The 23,932-nt window shown below is 38.0% G+C and overlaps 1 protein-coding gene across 4 annotated transcripts in view, besides 1 other annotated feature; it reads left to right on the forward strand.

Annotated features, from left to right (window-relative positions):
• Positions 282-23,932, forward strand: part of CDK8 (cyclin dependent kinase 8) — a 151,110-nt gene continuing 127,459 nt past the window's right edge. For all 4 annotated transcript variants that reach the window (XM_047430033.1, NM_001260.3, NM_001318368.2 and 1 more), the window contains exon 1: positions 282-922. Coding sequence is in view for 2 of the 4 variants with exons in the window: in NM_001260.3 (NP_001251.1) it covers positions 795-922 (128 nt within the window). In the remaining 2 variants the exon portion in view is untranslated. The remainder of the gene's footprint in view (positions 923-23,932) is intronic.
• Positions 287-886: a silencer, noted in NCBI's record as "silent region_5186". NCBI's record gives its function as "represses an Ori minimal core promoter by ATAC-STARR-seq in GM12878 lymphoblastoid cells {active_cell/tissue: GM12878}" and the evidence as "EXISTENCE:reporter gene assay evidence [ECO:0000049][PMID:35858748]".

A 23,932-nucleotide genomic window follows, 5' to 3' on the forward strand; every position in this document is an offset into this window, starting at 1 on the left:
TCGTAGAAGGGGCGGCAGCGGCGGCGGCCTGTGCATTCTGGGTATTGTAGTCTGGGGCCCGGCCACCGCTGGGGCTGGTTCCACGTGGTGCATTTGGCGGCAGCTTTGGGCAGTGGCTCCCCTGCTCCCTCCACACGGTCCTCAGGGTGCCAGCGCCAGCAGGGGCGGCCAGCCACCGCGGGAGCGGGCTAGAGTGTGGCCCGGAGGCAGCCCGAGGCTTCGCGACGTTTTTGCGACAGCCGCGGCCGTGTTCCGCGAGTGCCCTCCCTCCTCCTCTCTTTGAGGAGGTACCGGCTGTTGTGCGGCTCTGCCCTTCTGTTTGAGTGTATGGGAGAGTGAGTGAGTGAGTGAGTGTGAGCGTGTGTGTGAGAGCGTGAGGCGTGAGTGCGCGTGTGAGAGGACGAGAGCCCGCCTGGCCGCCCCGCCGCTCCCGCCGCAGCAGGAGCAGAACGCGCGGCCGGAGAGAGCGGCGGAGCCGGCGCCCAGGGAGCCCGCGGGGACAAGGGCAGAGACACCGCTCCCCACCCCCAGCCCTCGTCCCTCGGCTCTCCTTCGCCGGGGGATCCTCCCCGTTCCTCCACCCCCGGCCGGCCTCTGCCCCGCCGTCCCCCTGGATGTCCCTGGCGCTTTCGCGGGGCCTCCTCCTGCTCTTGCCGCATCAGTCGGGCTGGTGCTGCGGCCGGCGGGCGTAGAGCGGGCGGGTTCCCGGGGGCTGCGGCTGCCCGTGCTTCCCCGGTCCCCACCCCTGCCCCCCGGCCCCCCGACCCAGCTCTCCGGCCTCAGAGGCTGTGACAATGGACTATGACTTTAAAGTGAAGCTGAGCAGCGAGCGGGAGCGGGTCGAGGACCTGTTTGAATACGAGGGCTGCAAAGTTGGCCGAGGCACTTATGGTCACGTCTACAAAGCCAAGAGGAAAGATGGGTGAGTGTGTGTGTCTGGGCCGGTGTCCGCGCTGGGCGGCGCTCCCGCAGGCCGAGGCAGGTAGCCCGGAGGGAGAGCGGGCCGCCGGGGTGCCGGGCTCTGACTTCCTCGACGCCGGCCTCTGGCTCCGCCAGCCAGGTTTGGGGAGGAAGTGGTGTACGAGGGATCCAAACCCACGAGAAATCCTGCGTGCCGCGTCTGTGTTCTGCTCTGGTGGTAAGAGGCAAGATGAGCCTCTGCACCGTGGGCTGTATACTTTTCAAGGATTTCAAAGCTGATTCATGAAAAAATTCGTTCTAAAACGCCGGGTTAAATGTTTTTTGTTTTTTTTTTTCCTTGGTCGATTTATTATGGTAACCTTCTGGGGATTTCCTCACCCGCCTCTGGAGTGTCATCCATCGGTCTAGAAGGAAGGCTGTGATCCTTTCCCCCACCAGTTTGTGATCGATTTTTTATCAAATTTGTATTTTATTTGAGGAAAGGAAGGCAGCGAGTGAATGTGGTTCTGGAGAGAGTTCCCCATAGTGATCATCTGCAACATAAATGTTGCAATTGCTATTTAGATATTATTAGCTGTGAATTTTTACATAGAACAATGGGGGTTTGGTGCAGGGTGGGTGGTGGGGAAGAAGGCAAGTGACATAGGGACTATCTCGTTCAGGCGGTTTCCCCCAAATTTAGCGGCTGGCAGTGAACTTTAAATAATCCCTTTGCTTTAAATATTCTTCCCTAGTAACAACTTAATTAAACCTATGACTGGTAATGCTTCCAATTTAGTTTCTTAACAGGCAAGTGAATTGTTCATTTTTTCTCTTTGTCAGTAGATGAATGTCTTGTAATATTGACAAAAGAGAAGGCAATTCTTAGTTGGGGGGAAAATATATTTTATTAACTCCATGTTTTCTTGTAAAATGGATGTTGTCTCTGTTGCCTTTGACAGAATAGAAAATTATTGAAAAGTCAAAGCTTATTATATAATCCTTGGATTTTATTAGAAACGAAGTAGCTTTACTTGAGCATCCCAGTTTAGTCACCTGCTGTATGATGTTTAATCACTTAAAATTTCCAATTAGGTAGGAGAGTATGTTCAGACTACATTAGCACGAAAAAAAAATTCATAAAGCTGAAGTTCCCTACTGTGGGGTAGGGGGGCGCATATTTACAAATACTTTAGTATTCTGGATGTTGGAAAGGAAAGTGTATATTTATTGGACATTTTTCTTAGATTTACTGAAATGTCTTTCTAAAAGTATTTACAATGGACTCTACGAGGAAGATAGGAGTTCTAATTAATTTAGAATGTGTATTTTAGTGCTTTTATGCAACAGTAAAGTGGAACAGATCGGCAGAAGGTAGGGATTTGGATTTGAAAACTTGATATTCTGGGCGCCGCACGTATTTAAAAGTACTTTTTAGCGGAATGGATAGTCTGGTGACACTGGAGAAATCAGCGTCTGGAGATATTGCTGACTCTGTTGTTGTCTAATTAGACTTATTGTTGAAGTTTTACTCTGTAATGACATATATTTTTAAAATTATGTTTGTTAACTCACCATACAATATTTCTCAAAAGCTTTAAACCATCTCCCCTTCCCCCAGTATTATGTAATTTTGGGCATATTCATAAAATCCCCAATCCCATGAGATTAGACATTACAGTACATTTGACCAAACTGACATGTTATATAAAATTCTAGCGCCTTTGCATTATTTTTAATCTGTGTGAGAGAAGCCGGTTCTGTTTTCATAAATTACCAATTTAAGCTAATAAAATATGCATATTTGTTTTAACGTTGTACATTTTATTAGAAAACTAATACTGTGTATTGGCAGGGGGTACTTAAGCACATTTTATATCTCTATGGTCAGGTTTTAATTTAGGCCGTTAAGAATAATTTGAAAGAATAATTTCAATATCTTTGAATTTAAAGATAGTTGAAGGTATAATGTATGGACATTCTTAGTCATCTGTGACAGCTGAAAAGTAACATTGCATTTTGGAAAAAAGAACTTATTATTTGTAATCCTTGGAGTTTGTTTTCCATCAGTCTTTAATGATTCTCTTTATGTGATGAACTTCTATTTTTAATGGATCAAATGTCAAGAGAGTTTTAAAATTACTATCTTTTAGAGATAGTTTTAGAGAGTTTTAAAATTACAGGGATTTTTTTCGGTTTGACTTCTCTTTGTAACCTCACTCTGGTAAAGTATCGCATAGTATTTATGAGGTTCTTTTGATCTTATGTCAGTGAAATGTAATTTAATGCATTTTAGTCCTGGTAAAATAAAATTTGTGGCTGTTTAATCTTTCATAATAAGATGATGATCAAATAATTTGTTTCTAGTATTGATTTACTTTCAAATTACATTATATATTCTGCAGCTGAGATTTGTTCTCTAGGAACTCAGACAGTAACACCTTTAAGGAGAACCTGAGATTTTCTATAAAAGGAAGTAACGCAAATAAGCTTGGTTTAGACATATTTGACTATTGAAATGAATGTATGTAAACGTTGTATCCTTTCAGTTGCCCAGTGAGCATAGAACATGAATAATTGGTAAAATAATTTAGACCAGAGAAGTTAGCTGCTTAAATTATTAAGTTTTAGGAAATAAAATAGCTTCAAAGATTCATTTCTTTGACTTACTTGAGGCATGATTGCATAGTAGGGAAAAGGGACCTTTTATAACTTTGTTAATTTCACATTATAATAGAGTTTAAAGAAATGCACAATAAATCTTGGGATTAATTTGTTCTCACTCGTGTCGCCGTAAATGAGATAGTGTCCTTTGTGTCTGAACACTTAAAGAGTACTCAGTGGGAAGCAGGGGGGTTCATTTTCTTTCTGAGTTGATTGTATCTCCTCTTTGCAGAGTTTAGGCAACCAAACTAATTTTGTTTTAAAGAGTAAGAGAGCGTTAGAAGACAGAAAACAATTTGTGTTTTTAAATTCTAGACTTCAATATTTGCACTGAATGTTTGGATAATTTAAAATATCAATTTGGGATAAGAGGTTTTTCTTCAAAAAAGAAAAACAAAAGGCATTTTCTTAGCAGGGTTTTTAATCTGTTATAATCTATGTTCCAAAGAATAGATAATTATGAGTGAGGAATGAGTGTGTGTTTGTGTGTGTGTGTGTGTGTGTGTGTGTGAGAGAGAGAGAGATACTGCCAACTTTCTTTGGGGCACATTTGTTGAGAGCCCAGAGATTAGTAAGTAGGCAGTGATAATGGCAATAATAGCTAAATTACTGAGTAATTAAGTTTCAGGTCCTGGGCAAAGCACTTTACATTCATCATCTAGTTAGTCCTCACAAGAAGTATATCAAGTCAATTCTGTTATTTTTCAGTTTTCCAGTTGAGGAAACTGAGGCTTAGAAAGGTTAAGCAAATTTACCCATGAGTACACAGCTAATTAAATGTCAGCTAAGATTAGAGGATTAGGCGCAGGTTTTTCACTCCAGAGCCCATGCTCTTAACCATTATGCTTCCTATAATTAATATATTGAATAAGTAAAAAAATAGTTATGGAGTTTGATTTCTAGTGGGTTATTCAAAAACATAAATACCTTGTAGAACTATTAATATTTGCTTCAATAAACTGGTGTACTTTCTGGGTATATTGCTGAAGCACCCTTTTTTTCAAGTGCTATAAAACTGTTTATGTAGATATATGGGTGTGTCTGTACGTATATACACAAACATACTTGTGTATCTAGAGGGGTGTGTGTGTGTGTGTGTGTGTAGGACTAAACTCTAATGAAAGCCATGTGGAAGCACTTCATCTAGTGGAAAGAACTCTAGATGAGCGATCCTGGAAACCTGAATTTGAATTCAGACTGTGCTTCTGATAGCAGTATGACCTTGGGCAAGTCATTTGCCCTTATAGCTCTTAGTAGGGGGGTTTCAGCATATAATTTTTAGGGTCTTTTCTAGTATTATGATTTGAGGAAGTAAAAATTATGAACATAAAATGTAATATTTTTTGCAAGATTAGGCAAACAACCACTAAAAAATTTTACTTTAGATGATGGTGCATTTCCATATTTTTTAGTCTCATGCTTTAACGTTGGTTCTCATCAACTGCCAAAAAGCTTGGTAACTCCCAAAGACCTATCAGTTACTTAACCCAACATGTCTTACGCTACCTTGCCATTCCTCTGTATTTATCTCTTAAGATATTGAGGATTTATGGACTAGTGCCTGTTCCCACTCCCTTGAACCATTCAGTTGGTGGGCAGCACAAAGGAACTCTTCTGATTCAACCTGCATTGGAGCATCCCATTACCTTTTTCCCCTTCTGAATATGGCTGAATGCTGTATCTAAGTTCATTTTGATTTAAATATTTCTTTAGATGTCAGAAATGCCAAATACAATATGTAATTTCTATCACTGGAATAGTCATGTATACAATAAAGAGTATTCCTTATAACCTTCTAAAAATGTGACAGAAGAGGACAGTTAGTCCCCTGTGTCTGCAGGTCCTGCATCTGTAGATTCAAGCAACTGTGGTTCAAAAATTTTCGAGGGGGTAGGGGGAAGGATAGTTGCATCTCTACTGAGCATGTACAGATTTTTTTTCTTGTCATTATTTCCTTAAAAAATAGAGTATAACAACTGTTTACATAGCATTTACATTTTATTAGGTATTATAAGTAATCTAGAGATGATTTAAAGTGTGTGGGAGGATATGCGTAGGTTATATGCAAATAGGACACCATTTTATATTAGAAACTTGAGCATCTGTGGATTTTGGGGGACGGTCCTGGAACGCACCCCTTGTGGATACTGAGGGATGACTGTATTTGCTGTGTACTTCTTATTTCCATGTGGTTGAAGTTACCTACCTTAGATATCAGTGCATTCAGATCCGCTATTTAGGCCACGTTGAGATTTCATGCTTAAATTTCATTTTTTTAGTAGCAATACTGGAAAATCAATTCATTTGGGATTTGTTCATGTGAGTTATTACTTTTACTGTGTCTTTGAACATTTGAAGAAGTCAATTACTCATTCATTCAACAAGTATTTATTGGACCCTTCTATGTGCCAAGCACTGTCCAAGGTATTGGGAATGCAAAGACGAATGAAGTATTCCATTATTTGGGGAGATAACTACTGGGGAAACAAACATGTAAATGTTGCAATTCAATAAGCACTATAATAATTAATGCAAGGTATATGGCAACACAGAGAAGGAAGTCCCCAACTGGTTAAGGTTTTTAGGAAAAGCTTCAAAGTTTACAGTATTTGATTTGGATCATAGAAGACAGGGAAGGTCTCATCAGAAAAGACATTCCAACAGGAATAGGACAAAGGGATTTTTTTTAAAATTGTATTTTCTGCAGACCCCAGCAAATTTTGTGGGTTTTAATTTTTCCTTGCCATGCCTTTCTTTTCCCCTTGTTTTCCCTGGCCAGCATTTTTTGAGTTCTTGCTGTACGTGTAGTAGTATATATATGCACTACAAATGTTCCATTGTACCCGTTGGACATGGTGAGGTACTCATTATTTAACAGTGGAGATAAATTTATCAGCGTTTGCACCGAACACCATAATTGTGTGTGTGTCAGTTTTCAATCATGAGAACATTGGCCATTCAAGAAAAGCAGCCTCTGAAATCCAGGGGTCTGATTTAAGACTCTCTCATGTGTAAAACTGCCATGGCAGAACTCTGTTTTGCCTGGGGCTCTGGTTGGCAAATGATTCTGCTTTGGCCTCACCTCCATGAGGTGTAAGGAGTCAGAATTTCATATGCTGCTGAGGTGATGGATGGTAACAAATTGGAAGGGGAAAGAAGTTCTTTTGCTACTTAGAGTTTAGGAAGTAATGGAATTTCTCTTGTTGGGGCTCTGATGTGTGGAAAGATGAAAGGTAGGGACAGGGCTTCTGGCATGCTGAATTTCAGCTAGGAAAACAGAAATAATGAAAAATTATAATTATTATAGGCCATTTGCAAACGTAACTACTTTGACAATTAATTCTCTGGGCAAATGTGTTCTAATTCTGATTTATAAACATTTGAAATGTGATTCATTTGTTAGATGGGAACTATGTATGGCAAATCAGTGTTGATAAATACATTTGATTCCCTGTGACTGGTGTTAATCTTTCTTGTAGTGCCTTTCACTATTGAATCCAATCCTCATTGTCTCTTGACTCTTTTTCTGTTCTTAGCTGCTGCTAGAAAATAAAACTCCTACTATCCTTTCCTCCTTCAGAACACTTTGTGAATTTTTTCCTTCACACCAGATTACGTAGCCTTGGTCATGTTACTTAGAAATTATCTTTTCTCTTTAGCAATCTTTTATCACCTCAAGGCAGCTCTTGATGTCACTAAAAGGTGGCTTTTACCTGTTGTTTTGACCTTAGTACTTAAAGACTGTTGGTATCATGATTCTGAATATTCTTTAATATAGTTATTGTCAAAGTCCCAAAACCAGTCCTTGCTGTAGTAAGCTGCCTTTACTGATGGAGTTATGTTCTTCAGATGTATTGTAGCAGAAAAAATGCTGAGAGCTCCTTTTTAAAAATTGAGATATAAGTCACATACCATAAAATTCACCCTTTTAAAAGTATGTGATCAGTATAGTGTTTTTTAGTAGATCGACGAGGCTGTGCAACCACCATCACTGTCTAATCCTAGGACATTTTCATGACCCCAAAAAGAAACCCATTAAGCAGTCAGTCCCATTCCCCTCTCTCCCCAGCCGTTGACAAGCACTAATCTACTTTCTGTCTCAGTGGATTTGCCTGTTCTGGACATTTCATATAAATGGACTAATTCAACATGTGGCCTTTTGTGTTTGTGTTTCTTTATTTAATGTAATGTTTTCAAGGTTCATCCATGTGGTACATGTATCAGTACTTCATACCTTTCTATGGCTGGATCATATTGCATTGTATAGATATACCACATTTTGTTTATATATTCATCAATTGGGCGTTTGGGTTGTTTCCACTTTTTGGCTAAAATGAATAATGCTTCGATAAGCAATTATGTGTGACTTGTTAGGTGGATGTATGTTTTCAGTATATACCTGGGAGTGGAATTTCTGGATCATATCCAAAGCAGCTGAGAACCAATTTTGAGTGACTTTACATTGACTTTGGTTTAGGACCAAGTTCTTTGTTCTTTGTGTACAAGACCTGACTAGTCTATTTTATTCCAGGACAGTGCTCACACCATAATCTATTGCAGTAATTCTGAAACAGAGATTCATACAGCTGCTCTCCTCCATCAACTTAGACCACTCTGACCTTTTCCTCAGGCAGCACCTTGTGCTGGAATTTTTTTTGTCTCAGGCAGCACCTTGTGCTGGAAATGCTTTTTTCTCAGTTGAAATGTACTGACAGCCTCAGAAAAAAATCCTAACTACGTATCTTAACATACAACTCCAATAAGTCCCACTTTACCCGTCACCCTGCAAAACATAGTCATTCACTGATATATTATGTAACTACTTCAGTGTATATGTGGTTAATGCTTATGTGTCCTTTGGGTCTTTCAGGTGAATGTTTATGGGTTAAAATTATAGATTTCCTTTAGGGCAATGATTGTGTTCTCCCCAGCTCTTGGCATATTGCCAAATTTTGACAGGTATTTTGTACTTTTGTGTATGTGTGTGTGTGTGTATCTGAAATTCATGTTTGAAAATCTTTTTTCTAAACTTGCTAACATTAAAAGCTTGAGGCATATTACGGGAAGAGTAGAAAAGTAATACCTGTGAAAATACCAGGAGAAGCAAAATTTGATGGGTTTCCTATGTTTTTACCCAGAATGGCACTGAACAATACCAAAATCAATCCAAAGGCAAGAGCAAGCTCGGTAGTTGGCTGAATCGAAATGGAAGGCCAAGGTATTTGAAAATTGAGCCACTAGAAATAATATTTTTTTGAAATATACTTTGAAAATGAACCCTTTAAAATGTGGATCAAATCTGTATTTCTAAAATTAAGGAAAACGTAATTAGTTTCTGAATCACAGTTGGCATTTAATTTTGCCTAAAATCACTGGTCTGTATAGCATGATCGTTTTATTTGAAATTTACCTTTTGTTACATGAGTAAAAAATTATTTAGACTAACTTCTATTCAAGGTAACTCAGTTACTCATCTCACTAGACAAGTTCTTTAAAGTCTATAACTTTATTGTAATCCATGAATTCTAACAAATAATCATCCTACAGAGAGGAATTTTTACATCATGATGAAGGGCCTACTCTGGGTGTTTCTAGACATTTGAATCTATAGGTTGTTTAGAGGACTAAAGGGATTGAATAAAAAGAAAACTTGTCAAGTCGTGCTAATGTAGTTTATATTAAACAAGTCATATTTTTGAGGAAAGAAGGAGTAGGTTTTTTTTGTTTTTCGGTTTTTTTTTTGAGACGGAGTCTCGCTCTGTTGCCCAGGCTGGAGTGCAATGGCGCGATCTCCGCTCACTGCTAGCTCCGCTTCCCGGGTTCACGCCATTCTCCTGCCTCAGCCTCCCGAGTAGCTGGGACTACAGGCGCCCGCCACCACACCCGGCTAGTTTTTTATATTTTTAGTAGAGACAGGGTTTCACCGTGTTAGCCAAGATGGTCTCGATCTCCTGGCCTCGTGATCCGCCTGCCTCAGCCTCCCAAGTGCTGGGATTACAGGCGTGAGCCACCGCGCCCGGCCGGGAGTAGGTATTACCTTTTTTTTTGAGCCAGAGTTTTGCTCTTGTTGCCCACGCTAGGGTGCGATGGCACGATCTTGGCTCACTGTAACCTCCGCCTCCTTGGTTCAAGAGATTCTCCTGCCTCAGCCTGCCGAGTAGCTGAGATTACAGGCATGTGCCACCAGCCTGGCAGATTTTGTATTTTTAGTAGAGATGGGGTTTCACCATGTTGGTCAGGCTGGCCACAAACTTCTGACCTTAGGGATCCGCCTGCCTCGGCCTCCCAAAGTGCTGGGATTACAGGCGTGAGCCACCGCGCCCGGCTAAAAGACTCCCTTTTTTTTTTTTTTCGAGACGGAGTCTCGCTATGTCACCCAGCCTGGAGTGCAGTGGCACGATCTCGGCTCACTGCTAGCTCCGTCTCCTGGGTTCACGCCATTCTCCTGCCTCAGCCTCCCGAGTAGCTGGGACTACAGGCGCCCGCCACTACGCCCGGCTAATTTTTTTGTACTTTTAGTAGAGACGGGGTTTCATCGTGTTAGCCAGGATGGTCTTGATCTCCTGACCTCGTGATCCGCCCACCTGGGCCCCCCAAAGTGCTGGGATTACTGGCGTGAGCCACCGCTCCCAGCCAAGACTCCCTTTAAGTAAATGAGTCTCCTAATGTTTTATTATGTGACTTTCTTTGCAAAAATTAAGTTTATACCTAATTTCCAAGAAAATGTCAGACAGAAAGCAAGACATACTTGTAATTTATTTTTTAATGCTGACTTAATGTTGATTTTTTAAAGTGTAAAATTAAATTATTTAAATATTTGGCATTTCATTATGGTTTGCCTTTAGCTGCCGTTCTTTTTTTTCTTAAAATTAATTAATTAATTAATTTTATTGAGACAGGGTCTCACTCTGTTCCCTGGGCTGGAGTGCTGTGGTGCAATCATGGCTCACTTCAGCCTTGAATTCCTGGGCTCAACTGATCCTCCCACCTTAGCCTCCCAAGTGGGTGGGACTAGCACGTCACCCCTCCCAGTAGCTGCAGTTCTTTTTGTAAATTTGTGTGCTTATAATTTATTTGGTAACTATTTACTGAATGTCTCTTATATGATTGGTTCTTGTACAAATTTATGGGGCACACGAGAAATTTTCTTAGATGTATATATGCATAGTGGTGAAGTCAGGGTACTTAGGAAGTTCATCACCAGACTGCAGTGCATTTTTGTTTAGTACTCCTACTCTACTATCAAACATTGAATTTATTTCTATTACGTTAATCTATATCTGCACCCTTTAACTCACTTCTCCTCCTCTCCTCCCTCCCCACTCACCCTTCCTAGTCCCCTTTATCTATTTTTCACTGTCTACATCCTTGTGTTCATTTTTTTGTAGCTCCCATGTATGAATGAGAACATATGATATTTGTCTTTTTGTGCCTGGCTTATTTCACTTAACATAAGGATCTCAAGTTCCATTCACGTTGCTGCAAATGATATGATTTCCTTCTTTTTTGTGGCTGAATAGTATTCCATTGTGAATATATGCCACATTTTCTTTATCCATTAATCTGCTGATGGACACTTAGATTGATGCCATACCTTTGCTGTTGTAAATAGTGTTGCCATAAACATGCGAGTGTAGGTATCCCCTTGATATACTGATTTCTTTTCCTTGGGGTAGAGATACCCAGTATCTCTTTGATTGCTGGATTGAATGGTAATTCTATTTTTAGTTTTTTGAGAAATCTTCGTACTGTTTTTTATAGTGGCTGTACTAGTTTACATTCCCACCAACTATGCTAGGTTCTGTGCCAGATGTAGGTGATTCAGCAGTGAACAGCCCATGGTCTAATAACTCTTTAGGGAACTTACAGACTTTTGAGGGGCATAGGCAGGTAAACAATTGTAATATAGTAGGATAAGGGCTGCAGTAGGGAAAATTGTAGGTTGCCATGGAAGTACCTAATCTGCCCTTGGGGAGCTCAAGTATATTTCACTTGTGACTTGAAAGATAATTAGAAATTGTGAATGGGCAATAAATAAGAGTTAGTGGGGGCTTGAGGAGTTATAGTGCAGGTGAGAGAGGTAATATCACTCGTGGCTCCAGAATTACTTTATAAGGAAGACGGTGCTGTCTAGATGAAGAGGCAGTGCAGTAATGTGTAGTAAGCAAGTTGCAACTGAAATTGTTTATTTGAGGTAATTTTGGGAGCTTGTGTATTATGGGGGGAAGCTATCCTTTGCAGCTGCCACTGAGTAGCATGCACAAAGACATGAAGGAAAGATGGTATGTACGGTGAGACAATTGAAAGAATTTCCATGCCAGATCTTGGAGGGGTGGAGGGAGAGGTATAAATAATCAAATTGGGGAAGTAAGCAGATTGTTGTAAATCAAGTCATGGATTTTGTACTTTCTTCCGAAGTCAGTGGGAACCATGCTTAGGGTCTTAAGCAGATAGTAATAAGTTCCGATTTCTCATTTAAAAAGATTGCTTGGTAACACGATCAGAATGGCCATAGGAAGCTGTGGTTAGGAGAATGTAATAGTAATCCAGGTGAGAGATGCTAGTGACTTGAATTAGGGAAGTGAGAGAGGGGATGAGGAGGGAGAAATGATAGGACTTGTTGATTTATTGGATATGATAGATGAACAAGTGAGAACCAAGGATGATGCCCAGGTTTCTGGCTTGGGCAGCTGGATATTGCCATTCACATAGCCAAAACAGAAAGAGGAGCAAGCTTGAGGTGGAAGATGATGATTGAGCTTTGATATGTTGACTTTCAGGTACCTGTTAAACATCTGAGAAGAAATGTGCATTAGGCAGATATGTAAATTTAATGCTCAAGAGAGGAGTCTGGCTAGAGTTAGACTATGTACTTAAAGTACTTAAAGTGGTAGCTTTCAGTGGTGATGAAATTGCCTAGGGAGAGTGTATAGAGCAAGACAAGGGCCTTGTATAAAGTGCGAAGAAAGAGATGTCTACCTAGGAGGCCAAAAATTGAGTCTAGAAAGGAGAAAACCCAAGGTTGCCATATTGTATAACAGGAACCGTGGAGTGTACAGCTTACTGGCTGTACAGGGCAGCTTGGAGAAATACTAGGACCTTGTAGGTAGAATAACAGCCAGGAAGAGTCTTTCCAGGAGTCAGAGATAGGAAGTGTCACATGTGGCTCAGAGGGCAAGGGAGATAAAGAAGTGTCTGGGTTAAATAAAATAAACGAAATAAAACTTCAGCTAAAGATTTTTGGATACCAAAGCTTAAGTCATAACACACTTTGTAGGTTTTATTCAGTGTTTTTGGTACTTTGATGGTTAGCCTTATTCAGAGCAAAGCAATGAAAAGCATCACTGCCATTCCTGTTTCTCTGCTGGCTGTGTTACTGAAGTGAAACCTGTAGATGCCATTTATTTATTTTGTACTCCATGCTATTCAGGATATTTCTCATTTTTTAATAAAAAGAAAATGGCTTTTTCTTTTTCTGATTATAAAAATAATGACTCTTCATTGTGATGAATTCAAGTAGTCCAGAAATGTATTCTTAAAACCCTAACTCTATAATTAGGAGACAATTAATATTTTCCTTGTCTTTCCAGATGACTTTGAATATATGTATACATTAATAACATCTATGATCTTACATTTTTTCATTCAAAAATATTATGCATCTTTCCATGTTGGTAAACGTAGCTCTAAATCAGCATTTTTAATTATTGCTGAATATCAGATGATACATATGCATATATTAATAAATATGTAGTCAACCAGTTTTTAGGGATAGATGTTGAAGTAATCTCCAAATTACAGCCATTGCAGTTAGCAAGGGATGTCAGTAAATATGCGTGCAGTTCTCCAGTGTCATATGAAGTCCTTGAAGTAGAATTTCAGGTCAAAGGTCATATACTTTCAACAACTATATTTCATTATGAAATAAGATGGGACTATGAAATTAATATAGTCTCATGATAAAACATTTAAATTGTACATAAGAGTACCCAGGAAAATCTAAGTCCCCCTTTTACCTCAGATTGAGCTTCCACTTTTTAGGGATAATTATTACCAGTGGCTCCTTGTGTATCTGCATATAGAAGCAAATATATGTATGGGTAGACTTCAAAATTTACTTTAGTACTTTATTCTTTTTGAGCAGATAATGCATGACCGTGGAAAAAAATTTAAATATGTGTTATTCTGTGCTTTGCTTTTTTCAGTTCATATGTTTTGGAGATCTATATCAGCACCTGTAACTCAATTCATTTTATCAGTTCATCGTTTTGTTTTATGTGTATAATATACTGGTCCAGTGCAAGGACATTTAGGTTGTTTTCATTGAAACAGAACTGCAATAAATGTCCTTTGCGTCTGTCTTTGTATACAACATGCTGTCAGATGGAGGTAGAACTTCCCAGGCTCCCAAAGTTCTCCATGGAGACATTTGCCATGGATGATACACTGGCAGAAAGTGAGGTTTCCATCAAGCAAGAGAAGCTCCCTTTGCTAAATCCACAGGGAGTTTTATCCCTCCTGGCTTCCTTCAATGGTTCTAGAAACTCTGATCACCATGCTCAAGTACAAGTAACTGGTAACAACCCTAGCAGATCACTGCAAGCAGGTCAGTTTCCTAGGAATATCTCTTCCCAGGCCTGGGCCAGACTCTTTTGAGGTCTAATCTTTGTCCTCTAAAAATGTTGCACCAATTACACTCACATCAAAACTCCAAAAACAAAACTTTTTGGAAAGAAGAAATGGGAGTAAATATAGTAATGACATGTTTGAATCATGGGGTTAAATACATTGTAAAGTCAGAATTGTTGAGATTTTTTTTTGAAAGTTTTGCTCCCCCCTCCCCCAACACACACACACACACACACACACACACACACACACACACACACACACACACAGTCCTGTGTATGTTATTTTATTTTGAGACAAGGTCTTGTTCTGTCACCCAGGCTGGAGTGCAGTAGTGCAGTCATGGCTCACTGCAGCCTTGAACTCTTGGGCTTAACCCATTCTCCCACCTCAGCCTCCTGAATGGCTGGGATTACAGGCATGTGTCACCACATCTGGCTAATTATTGTATTTTTTGTAGAGATGTAGTTTTGCCATGTTGCCCAGGCTGGTCTAGAACTCCTGAGCTCAAGTGTTCCTCCTGCCTCAGCCTCCTGAGTAGCTAGGACTACAGGCACAGGCTATAGGACTATGCCACCATACTTAGCTAATCCTGTGTATTTTAGATTACTGGTGGGGATTAAAAAAAACTCGAGAGCCATATAGGTATTTAAAATTACAGTTATTTCATTATTTTTACATCTTATTTTATGTTTACTTTCATCAGATTTCTCTATTCCAACTTGATAATGTTGCTACAATTTGTGACAAATGATTGATGCTCTTGGTATTCTACCTCCATGCAGTTTATTTAGCACTGACCTGTAGTTCTCTTACTCTTGCTTAGATCATCTTTCTTTCCATTTCTTGTTGGTTGGCCTTGGTCATCCTCTCATTTCCTACCCAGCACTGACATTCCTACTCCTGATTTTTTTCCTTTCTCCTCACTTTTTGGCTTGCTTTTTCTGTTTCATACTGATGTTGGCTTTGACATTGTTTATTGTTGCCTTTCTCAGTTGCGTTCACTTATGGACTTGCCTCCATAGAATGAGAGGCTGGAGCCCTTTCTGTTGCCAGTAGAATTGCTTGACTTCATGTTTAACAGAAGTACTCATTCATGTTAGGTAAGCAGCCAGGTGATTGTAAGACAGCTCTGATGTATTTTGTTAATTCTGAAGAAACTTTTAAGTACTGCTAAACATAATTCTTGATAGTATGGATACAATGACTGCTTAATAGACTTTGGAAAGTACTCCTTATAGATAGGAAGCTGAAATACACATATATTTTTATCTTTTTATCTAAAAACCTATTTTAGTACAAATGAGTCCAGCTGTGCTTGAGAATTTAAACCAGATATCCTGGAGCTGAAAGTCGATATTGTCAGTGTTTTAGCCAAGACTAGCTGACCTCTGCAGATCCCCTTTAAGTTTGTGGCATAAGCTAAATTCGGAAGTAAGTAAAAAACTTAAGGAAATCGATCAAAGTAGCACATACCTCTCTTACTTGATCTATTTCTCTTTAGATTGTTTTTTTTTTTATGGGATCATTCTATTCTAAAAGGTGATTCAGTCTGATGTTCCTAAGTACATGAAAATTTCAATGCAAGCAAAAAATACTGAGTACATGTCACTTTAAAACAATCTTGCTTTGACTTTGATCATGTAGTGTCTTTTCTGTATTTCTATTGCACTTTGAGTAACTGGACTCACTGAATTTAAAATGTGCTTGGTGGTTTTCAAATGAGAATGTAGTGCAATTAGGTTTTTTTCTTAGTAAAATTCTGTACTATATTCTTGAAAAGTTTTGGAATAGAAGATAGCATTTGCTACTAGTTACTTATTATTTATTTATTTATTTATTTTTTAGAGCAGGAGAACTTGATAGTTAAGTGTTTAAGAAGTAATTTTGATTTAGTTGCAGTGTGCAAAGTAGGGATATTAAATCCCAATTGTCTTCATGGAAAAATATTAGTAATACCTTCCAAAAAGTTATATACATTTGTGGTTCATAAAGTTTTTCTTAATATGGCTTTTTTGAGATATAATTCATATACCATACAATTCATCTATTTAAAATATACAGTTTAGCTAGGTGTGGTGGCTCACTCTTGTAATCCCAGCACTTTGGGAGGCCGAGGCAGGTAGATCACCTGAGGTCAGGAGTTTGAGACCAGCCTAATCAACATGTGAAACCCTATCTCTACTAAAAATACGAAAATTAGCTGGGTGTGGTGGCAGGTGCCTGTAATCCTAGCTACTCAAGAGGCTGAGGCAGGAGAATCATTTGAACCCAGGAGGTGGAGGTTGCGGTGAGCCAAGATCACGCCATTGCACTCCAGCCTGGGCAACAAGAGCGAAACTCTGTCTCAAAAAAAAAAAAAAATACACACACACACACATACACAGTTTAGTGCTTTTTGATATATTCACAGGGTTGTGCAGCTATTACCGCAATCTGATTTTAGAATATTTTTGGTCCCTCTAAAAGAAACCCCGTACCCATTAGCAATCACTCCTTGTTTCCTCTAATCCTCAGTCCTAGACATCCAGGAATCTCCTTTCTGTCCCTGCATTTGCCTGTTTTGGACATTTCATATAAATGACGAAATCATACAATATGTGCTCTTTTGTGACTGACTTCCTTCACTTAATGAAACGTTTTCAAGGCTCATCCATGTTGTAGCATATATCACATTTTGTTCATTCCTGGGCTGGTGAATATTTGGGTTCTTTCTACTTTTTGGTTGTTATGAATAATGCTGCTATGAACATGGGTATACAACTATCTGAGTCTCTGCTTTCAATTCCTAGGTATTCATTATAACCAAGAGTGGAATTACCGGCTCATGTTTAACTTTTTGAGTAGCCTCCAAACTGTTTTCCACAGCTGCTACACCATTTTGCGTTCCCACCAGCAGTGCACCAGGGTTGCAATTTCTCCACGTTCTTGCCAACACTTGTTTTCTGCCTTTTTGATAATAGACATCCTTAAGGGTATTAAATGGTATCTTATTGTGGTTTTGATTTGTATTTCCCTAATAACTAATGATGTTGAGTATCTTTTTATGTGCTTATTGACCATTCATGTATCTTTGTGGGAAAATATATTCAAATGCTTTGCTGTTTAAAATTAGGTTGTCTTTTTAGTAGTTAGTTGTAGGAGTTCTTTGTATATTCTGGATACTGAACCCTTATCAGATATATGATTTGCAAATACAGTTGTGTGTTGCTTAATGACAGGGATACTTTCTGAGAAATGCAGCATTAGGCAAGTTTATGATTGTGTGAACATCATAGAGCATACTCAGACACCTAGATGGTATAGCCTACAACACACCTAGGCTATATGGTGTAGCCTATTGCTTAGTCTACAAGCCTGTACAGTATGTTATTGTATTGACTATTATAGGCACTTGTAACACAGTGGTTAGTATTTGTGTATCTAAACACATTTTAATATAGAAAAGGTATAGTAAAAATATGGCATAAAAGGTAAAAAATGAGCTGGGTACAGTGACTCATGGTTGCAATTCCAGCATTTTGGGAGTCTGAGGTGGGAGGACTGCTTGAGGACATAGGAGTTTGAGACCAGCCTGGGCAGTATACTTGATACCCCATCTTTACAAAAAAGTTAAAAAATTAACTGGGCTTGGTGGTATTTGCCTGTAGTCCCAGCTACTCAGGAGACCGAGGCGGTAGGATTGCTTGAGTCCAGGAGCTTGAGGCGGTGGTGAGCTCTAATTGTACCACTGTAGAGGGCCTGGGGGACAGAGTGAGACCCTGTCTTTTTTTTTTTTTTTTTTTTTTTTTTTTTTTTTTTTAAGAGAGAGACATAAAAATTGGTATACCTGTGTAGGGTACTTACCATGAATGGAACTTACAGGTCTAGAAGTTGCTCTGGGTGAGTCAGTGGTAAGTGCATGTGAAGGCCTAGGACATTGCTTTACACCACTGTAGACTTTATAAACACTGTACACTTAGGCTACCCTAAATTTATTTAAATTTTTTTCTTCAATAATAAATTAACCTTAGCCTCCTGTAATTGAGTACTTTAAACTTTTCAGTTTTTTAAAACTTTCTGATTCTTGTATAATAACTTAGATTAAAACACAAACATTGTATAGGTGTATAAAAACATTTTCTTTATATCCTTATTCTGTAAGCTTTTTTCTATTTTTAAAAGTTTTTGGCTGGGCGTAGTGGGTCACACCTGTAATCCCAACACTTCGGGAGGCTTGAGATGGGAGGATTGCTTGAGGCAGGAGTTCAAGACCAAACTTTTTTTTTTAAAGAAAAAGAAAAAAAAGTTTTTATTTTTTGCTTTTTAAACGTGTTTGTTATGTTAGCCTAGGCCTACACAGGGTCAGGATCATCAGTATCACTGTCTTCCACTTCCACATCTTGTCCCCCTGGAAGGTCTGAGGGGTAGTGCAGACATGGAGCTGTCATCTCCTATGATGATAATGCCTTGATGTGGAATACCTCCTGAAGGACCTGCCTGAGGCAGTTTTACAGTTAATTTTAAAAAGAATAAGTCAAACTGGAGTACACTCTTTACTTTTTATTGACCTCTTGGGGATGAAGAAAGAAGTACACTCTTAATGATAAAAACCATAGTATAGCATATACATACACCAGTAACATGGTCATTTATTATCAAGTATTATGTAGTGTACATAACGGTATGTGCTATACATGACGGGCAGTGCAGTAGGTTTCTTCACACCAGCATCACCACAAACGTGCCTGTAATGCTTTGCACTATGAAGTTACAATGGCTACAGTGTCACTAGGTGAGAAGAATTTTTCAGCTCTATTTTAATCTTATGGGACAACCTCCCTATGTGCTGTTGTCTTCAAGTGAAACATCATTACATGGTGCATGACTGTATTTGGCTTGTCTTTTTACTTTCTTGTTGGTATTGTTTGTAGCACAAAAGTTTTTAATTTTGGTGTAGTCCAGTGTATCTATTTTTGCTTTTGTGGCTGTGTTTTTGATATTATATGTTAAAGAAACATTGCTTAACCCAAGGCCACAAAAACTTCTATGTTTTTTCCTAAGAGTTTTATAGTTGTAACTCCTAGATTTAGGTCTCTAAGGGGTTGAACTTCTTTCTTTTGGTGATGGATATACAGTTGTCCCAGCCTCTGAATTGTTTGGGCATACTTTGTTAAAAATCAGTTGGCCATAAATATAGGATATTTTTCTGGTCTCTCAATATGTCTGTCCTTAAGCTGGTACTACACTGTCTTCATTGCTGTAGCTTTGTAGTTAGTTTTGAAACTTGGAAGTGTACTTTCTTTTTTGCCAAGATTGTTTTGACTTTTTTGTAGTTCATGAAGTTTAAACACTACATCTGGTATTATTTTTCACTTTTCTAATAGATTATAATGTTGGATATGTTAGAAATGTATGTCTAGTTCCAGGTAATTAAAGTTTTCTGGGTAGCTGATTCACTTTTTATTCACTAAATCTTTATTTTAATCACTGTGGATGAAAGTCATTTATTTGGTATTATATAATAAAAATTATACATACACATATATGATATACTTGGAACACAGTTTAACTTTTTCTGTGCAGTTCAGACTAACTATTGTAAAACATTAGCCATCATATGTTATTTCCAGGTGCTTTAAAAAATATATATATATATAGTACTATTGGCTTTTGTACTAAATAGCTAGGTCTTCGGAGTTCATCTACCTATGGTGTTTTCCTTTATTCTTCTCCTTATTGTCAGCTGTTACTTAAAAAAAAAGTTTTATACTTTTAAATTACAGAATAACTATCAATTGTAGAAAATACAAGTAAAGTCTAAGAAGAAAATAAAATTTACCCTAATTTGGCCACACAGACTTTTTTAAGGCATGTTTTAAAATTAGATTATATTGTGCACATTGTTTTGAAACCTGCATAGACTGTGTATATTCCATGTCACTAATCATCTTTCTAAATCTTTCTGTTGTTTTAATGTCTGTATTTATTGTATTATATGATTGTACTTTAAAAAACATTTAGCATAGTTTCACTTTTTCATTACATTTAAAATTTTGTTGCTGCATCTTTGTAGACACTCATGATTTTATCCTTAGGAAAGATTTTTAGAAGTGGGTTTGCTGGATCCATTTTTAAGGTTTTTGATATATGAAGCTAGATTTTCTCCTAGAAGGTTTGAACTAATTTGTAATGTCTTTCATAATGACAAAAGTAATGTTTGCCTCCTCCTTGATCAATAGTTTTATTATTGTTTTCTTTGATCTTTGCAAATTTGATAGGCAACCTATGGAATTTTGGTTTTATTTACATTTGTTTAACATTTAAATTTTTAATTTCATATTTATTCATCATTTAATTTCTTTTCGGAATTACCCAATCATATTTTGCGTGTTTTCTGTTATGTTTTCTTTCTTTCTTTTTTTTTTTTGAGATGGAGTCTTGCTCTGTTGCCCAGGCTGGAGTGCAGTGGCACGACCTCCACTCACTGCAAGCTCTGCCTCTTGGGTTCATGCCATTCTCCTGCCTCAGCCTCCCGAGTAGCTGGGACTACAGGCGCCCGCCACCACGCCTGGCTAATTTTTTGTATTTTTAGTAGAGATGGGGTTTCACGATGTTAGCCAGGATGGTCTCATTCTCCTGACCTCGTGATCCGCCCGGCTCATCCTCCCAAAATGCTGGGATTACAAGTGTGAGCCACCGCGTCTGGCCTACATTTTCTTAAATATTTCTTTTTGTTAAGTGCTTTGTTTATTGGGATATTCATTTTTTTATTCATGTTGTAAGAATTTCCAATTCTTTGTTTTTATATTTATGACTTCTTAAATGTGTAATCAAATGTATCAGTCTTTTATTGCTTCTGAGTTTTCTCCATTATATGCCTTTTACTTACATTTTCACCTAATGTTTTTATGGGTTTCAAAATTACAGTTAAAATTTTATTTAATCTTAAAATGATTTGTTAAAACTTGTTAGGTAGGGTTCTAACTTTAATTTTTCTACTCCTTTTAATGCTGTTGAATAATTCTTTCTCAATTGATTCGAAATGCTGCTTTTATCATTACCCTACATTCCCAACTTGGAATTTATTTCTGGACTTTCTGTGTTAGTCCATTGATCTGTCTATTCCTGTGTTACTCCCTTTGTTGTTTTACGTCTTTTATAATAAAGATCTACAATATCTGGGGTAAGACTGGAACCTTGATGTTAGTCTTTGAAAAATAAATTACAGTTTTTCTTATCCATTTATTCCAGGTAAGCTCTAAAATCAACAACTCAAGGTCTAAAAAGTATTTTGAGATTTGGGTTGAATTGTATTAAATGTATAGATAGATGAATTACTCTCCATACTCAGCAATATGGTTATGTTTTTTATTCAGATTTTATCTTAAGAACCTTAATAAAGCCTTGTAGTGTTTTTCATATGGGTCCTACATATTGCCTACTACAAGGTATTCTATTTAAGTAGTGTTGTGCACAAGTTTGTGCACCTGTACGTCTCATGTAATATTTGTGACATATGAAAATTTTTTTTATGTTTATCTGAAATGCAGATTTATCTGGACATCTTGTATTTCATTTGCTAAATCTAGTAACCCTGTGCATATTTTTTAACTATTACAGAATTTAAAAAATGTACTCCAAAGTAGAGACGGTTCAATAAATCCTCATTAACCCACCATGTATCTCAAATAGTCGTAAACTTTCTGCATTTCTTATAAAGGTAGTTTAAATTTTTTATTGCTGATTTTTTAGCTTGCTGTCTTAGATATTCATGTTATATATATTAAGAGTTTTATTCTTTTCTAGTACTTCCACTTGAGGAAACTTTGGTGTTATTGCATTGGCTCTAACTTTTTTTTTTGAGACAGTCTCACTCTGTCGCCAGGCTGGAGTGCCGTGGCACAATCTTGGCTCACTGCAACCTCTGCCTCCCAGGTTCAAGCAATTCTTCTGCCTCAGCCTCCCGAGTAGCTGGGACTACAGGTGCATGCCACTACGGCCAGCTAATTTTTGTATTTTTAGTATAGATGGGGTTTCACCATGTTGGCTAGGATGGTCTCGATCTCTTGACCTCGTGATCTGCCTGCCTCGGCCTCCCAAAGTGCTGGGATTACAGGCGTGAGTAACCGGCTGTACCTTTTAAATAACTTTTTAATAACTTTACATTCTTACTGGCAGTGTTGGAGATATTTTTGTCTTTTGATTTTTAAATGGAAATATTTCTAGTGTTTCTGTGTTAGGTAAGTAAGAGTTCTTACTAAATTTTGTTTTCCTAATATTATTAGATTTGGGATTGACATACATGATTTACAAGCTCTGTTTCTGTCTTCCTAATATTATTAGATTTGGGATTGACATCTTATATGTGATTTATGAGCTCTTGAGCTTGAGCAGTTCATTCAGTCTCTCTGAGCACTTCTGATTTTTCATCTGTCAAATGAATTCATCCCACAGAGATCTTTTTGTAACATAAGGCAATGGATGCAAAACAAGTTTTCCAGCTATCATAAGGGCATATAAGTTACATGTACTTTAATATATTTTTTTAATTAATCTCTCTTGTTCATTCATTTATGATTACCTATTTCTCCAGTGCCCAATTATCCTGATTTATATTTTTTAAGAAGAATTTAAGATGCTTAGTGGTAGACGATTATCCTAAATATGTCTGTTTACAGATAGCAACCTATGGTTGTTTCTGCTGTAATATCATGTTTGTTTTTCTGCCAAATCTCTTATTATGAAAAATCTCTTATGAAAACAGAAGTTTCATTGGAGAAAGAGGACTGGAGAGTTTCTGTAGGACTGACATAAGTATTTATGTAGCTTTACTCTAAAAATAATAAATATGCTGACTAAATTCAATAAAAACAACCAAATTTTTCCTCCTTCACCCTTGAGTCCATCCACATTCTCAGAAGGTTCTTAGCTTCTCCTATCACATTTGTCCTTGACCATGCAGTTTTACTTGCAGAACTGTTCACAACTGCCAGTGGTAAACAAAAGAATAAAAGAATGCTTGAGTAAACAAAACAATTCTATTTCAGAAGAACACACAAACAATGCAGCTCTGTGTGCCTATTCTTTGATGCAACTATTATTTTTCCTATTTACGTTGTGCTAATTCCTGTTGGTGTTGTAGTAATAATGCTTTAGTGTACTGAGTTTTCCCCCAATTGATGATGTTATATCTACATTATGTTATAAAAGCTCATGCTGTAAGAGACTTGCCTATATTTGCTAGTACAGGGTAAATAGTAAGTATTGTATTAATAAATACTTGTTGATTGCAAATGGCCAGATGACTTATTTCAAATATTGAGGCTCATTGAGGTTCACTGTTATTGCCCTGGCTAGGTATTCAAGCCTGGCTCAGTAAACTGTACTTATTGGATACTGGTTCAAAACAAAGTAAAAAATGTAATCCTACTATTGTGCAAAGTCATAGTACCTTTTTACTTTTGGCAAGTGTTGTTACATTATAGGAAGATAAGAACTAGAGCAGGTTTGGAGAAAGGCACACAAAATGACAAGGAGAAAGGTACCATAGTATATAAACTAAAAGGGTTTGGGTGTTTCAACTTGGAAGTTAAAGGGATGAATTTGAAGTATAGAAGACTGTGATCATATAGGTAAGTTGAACTTGTTTTTAAATCTCAGCCTGATGAACTGTTGTTTATTTTTACCCCCAGTGTTGAAATAAGACAGTTGGATAGAAGCACTTTATTTTGAAACTGAAAATGTAATTAATTCTCTA

The sequence above is a fragment of the Homo sapiens genome, chromosome 13 (assembly GCF_000001405.40).
Source record: "Homo sapiens chromosome 13, GRCh38.p14 Primary Assembly".
NCBI lineage: Eukaryota > Metazoa > Chordata > Mammalia > Primates > Hominidae > Homo > Homo sapiens.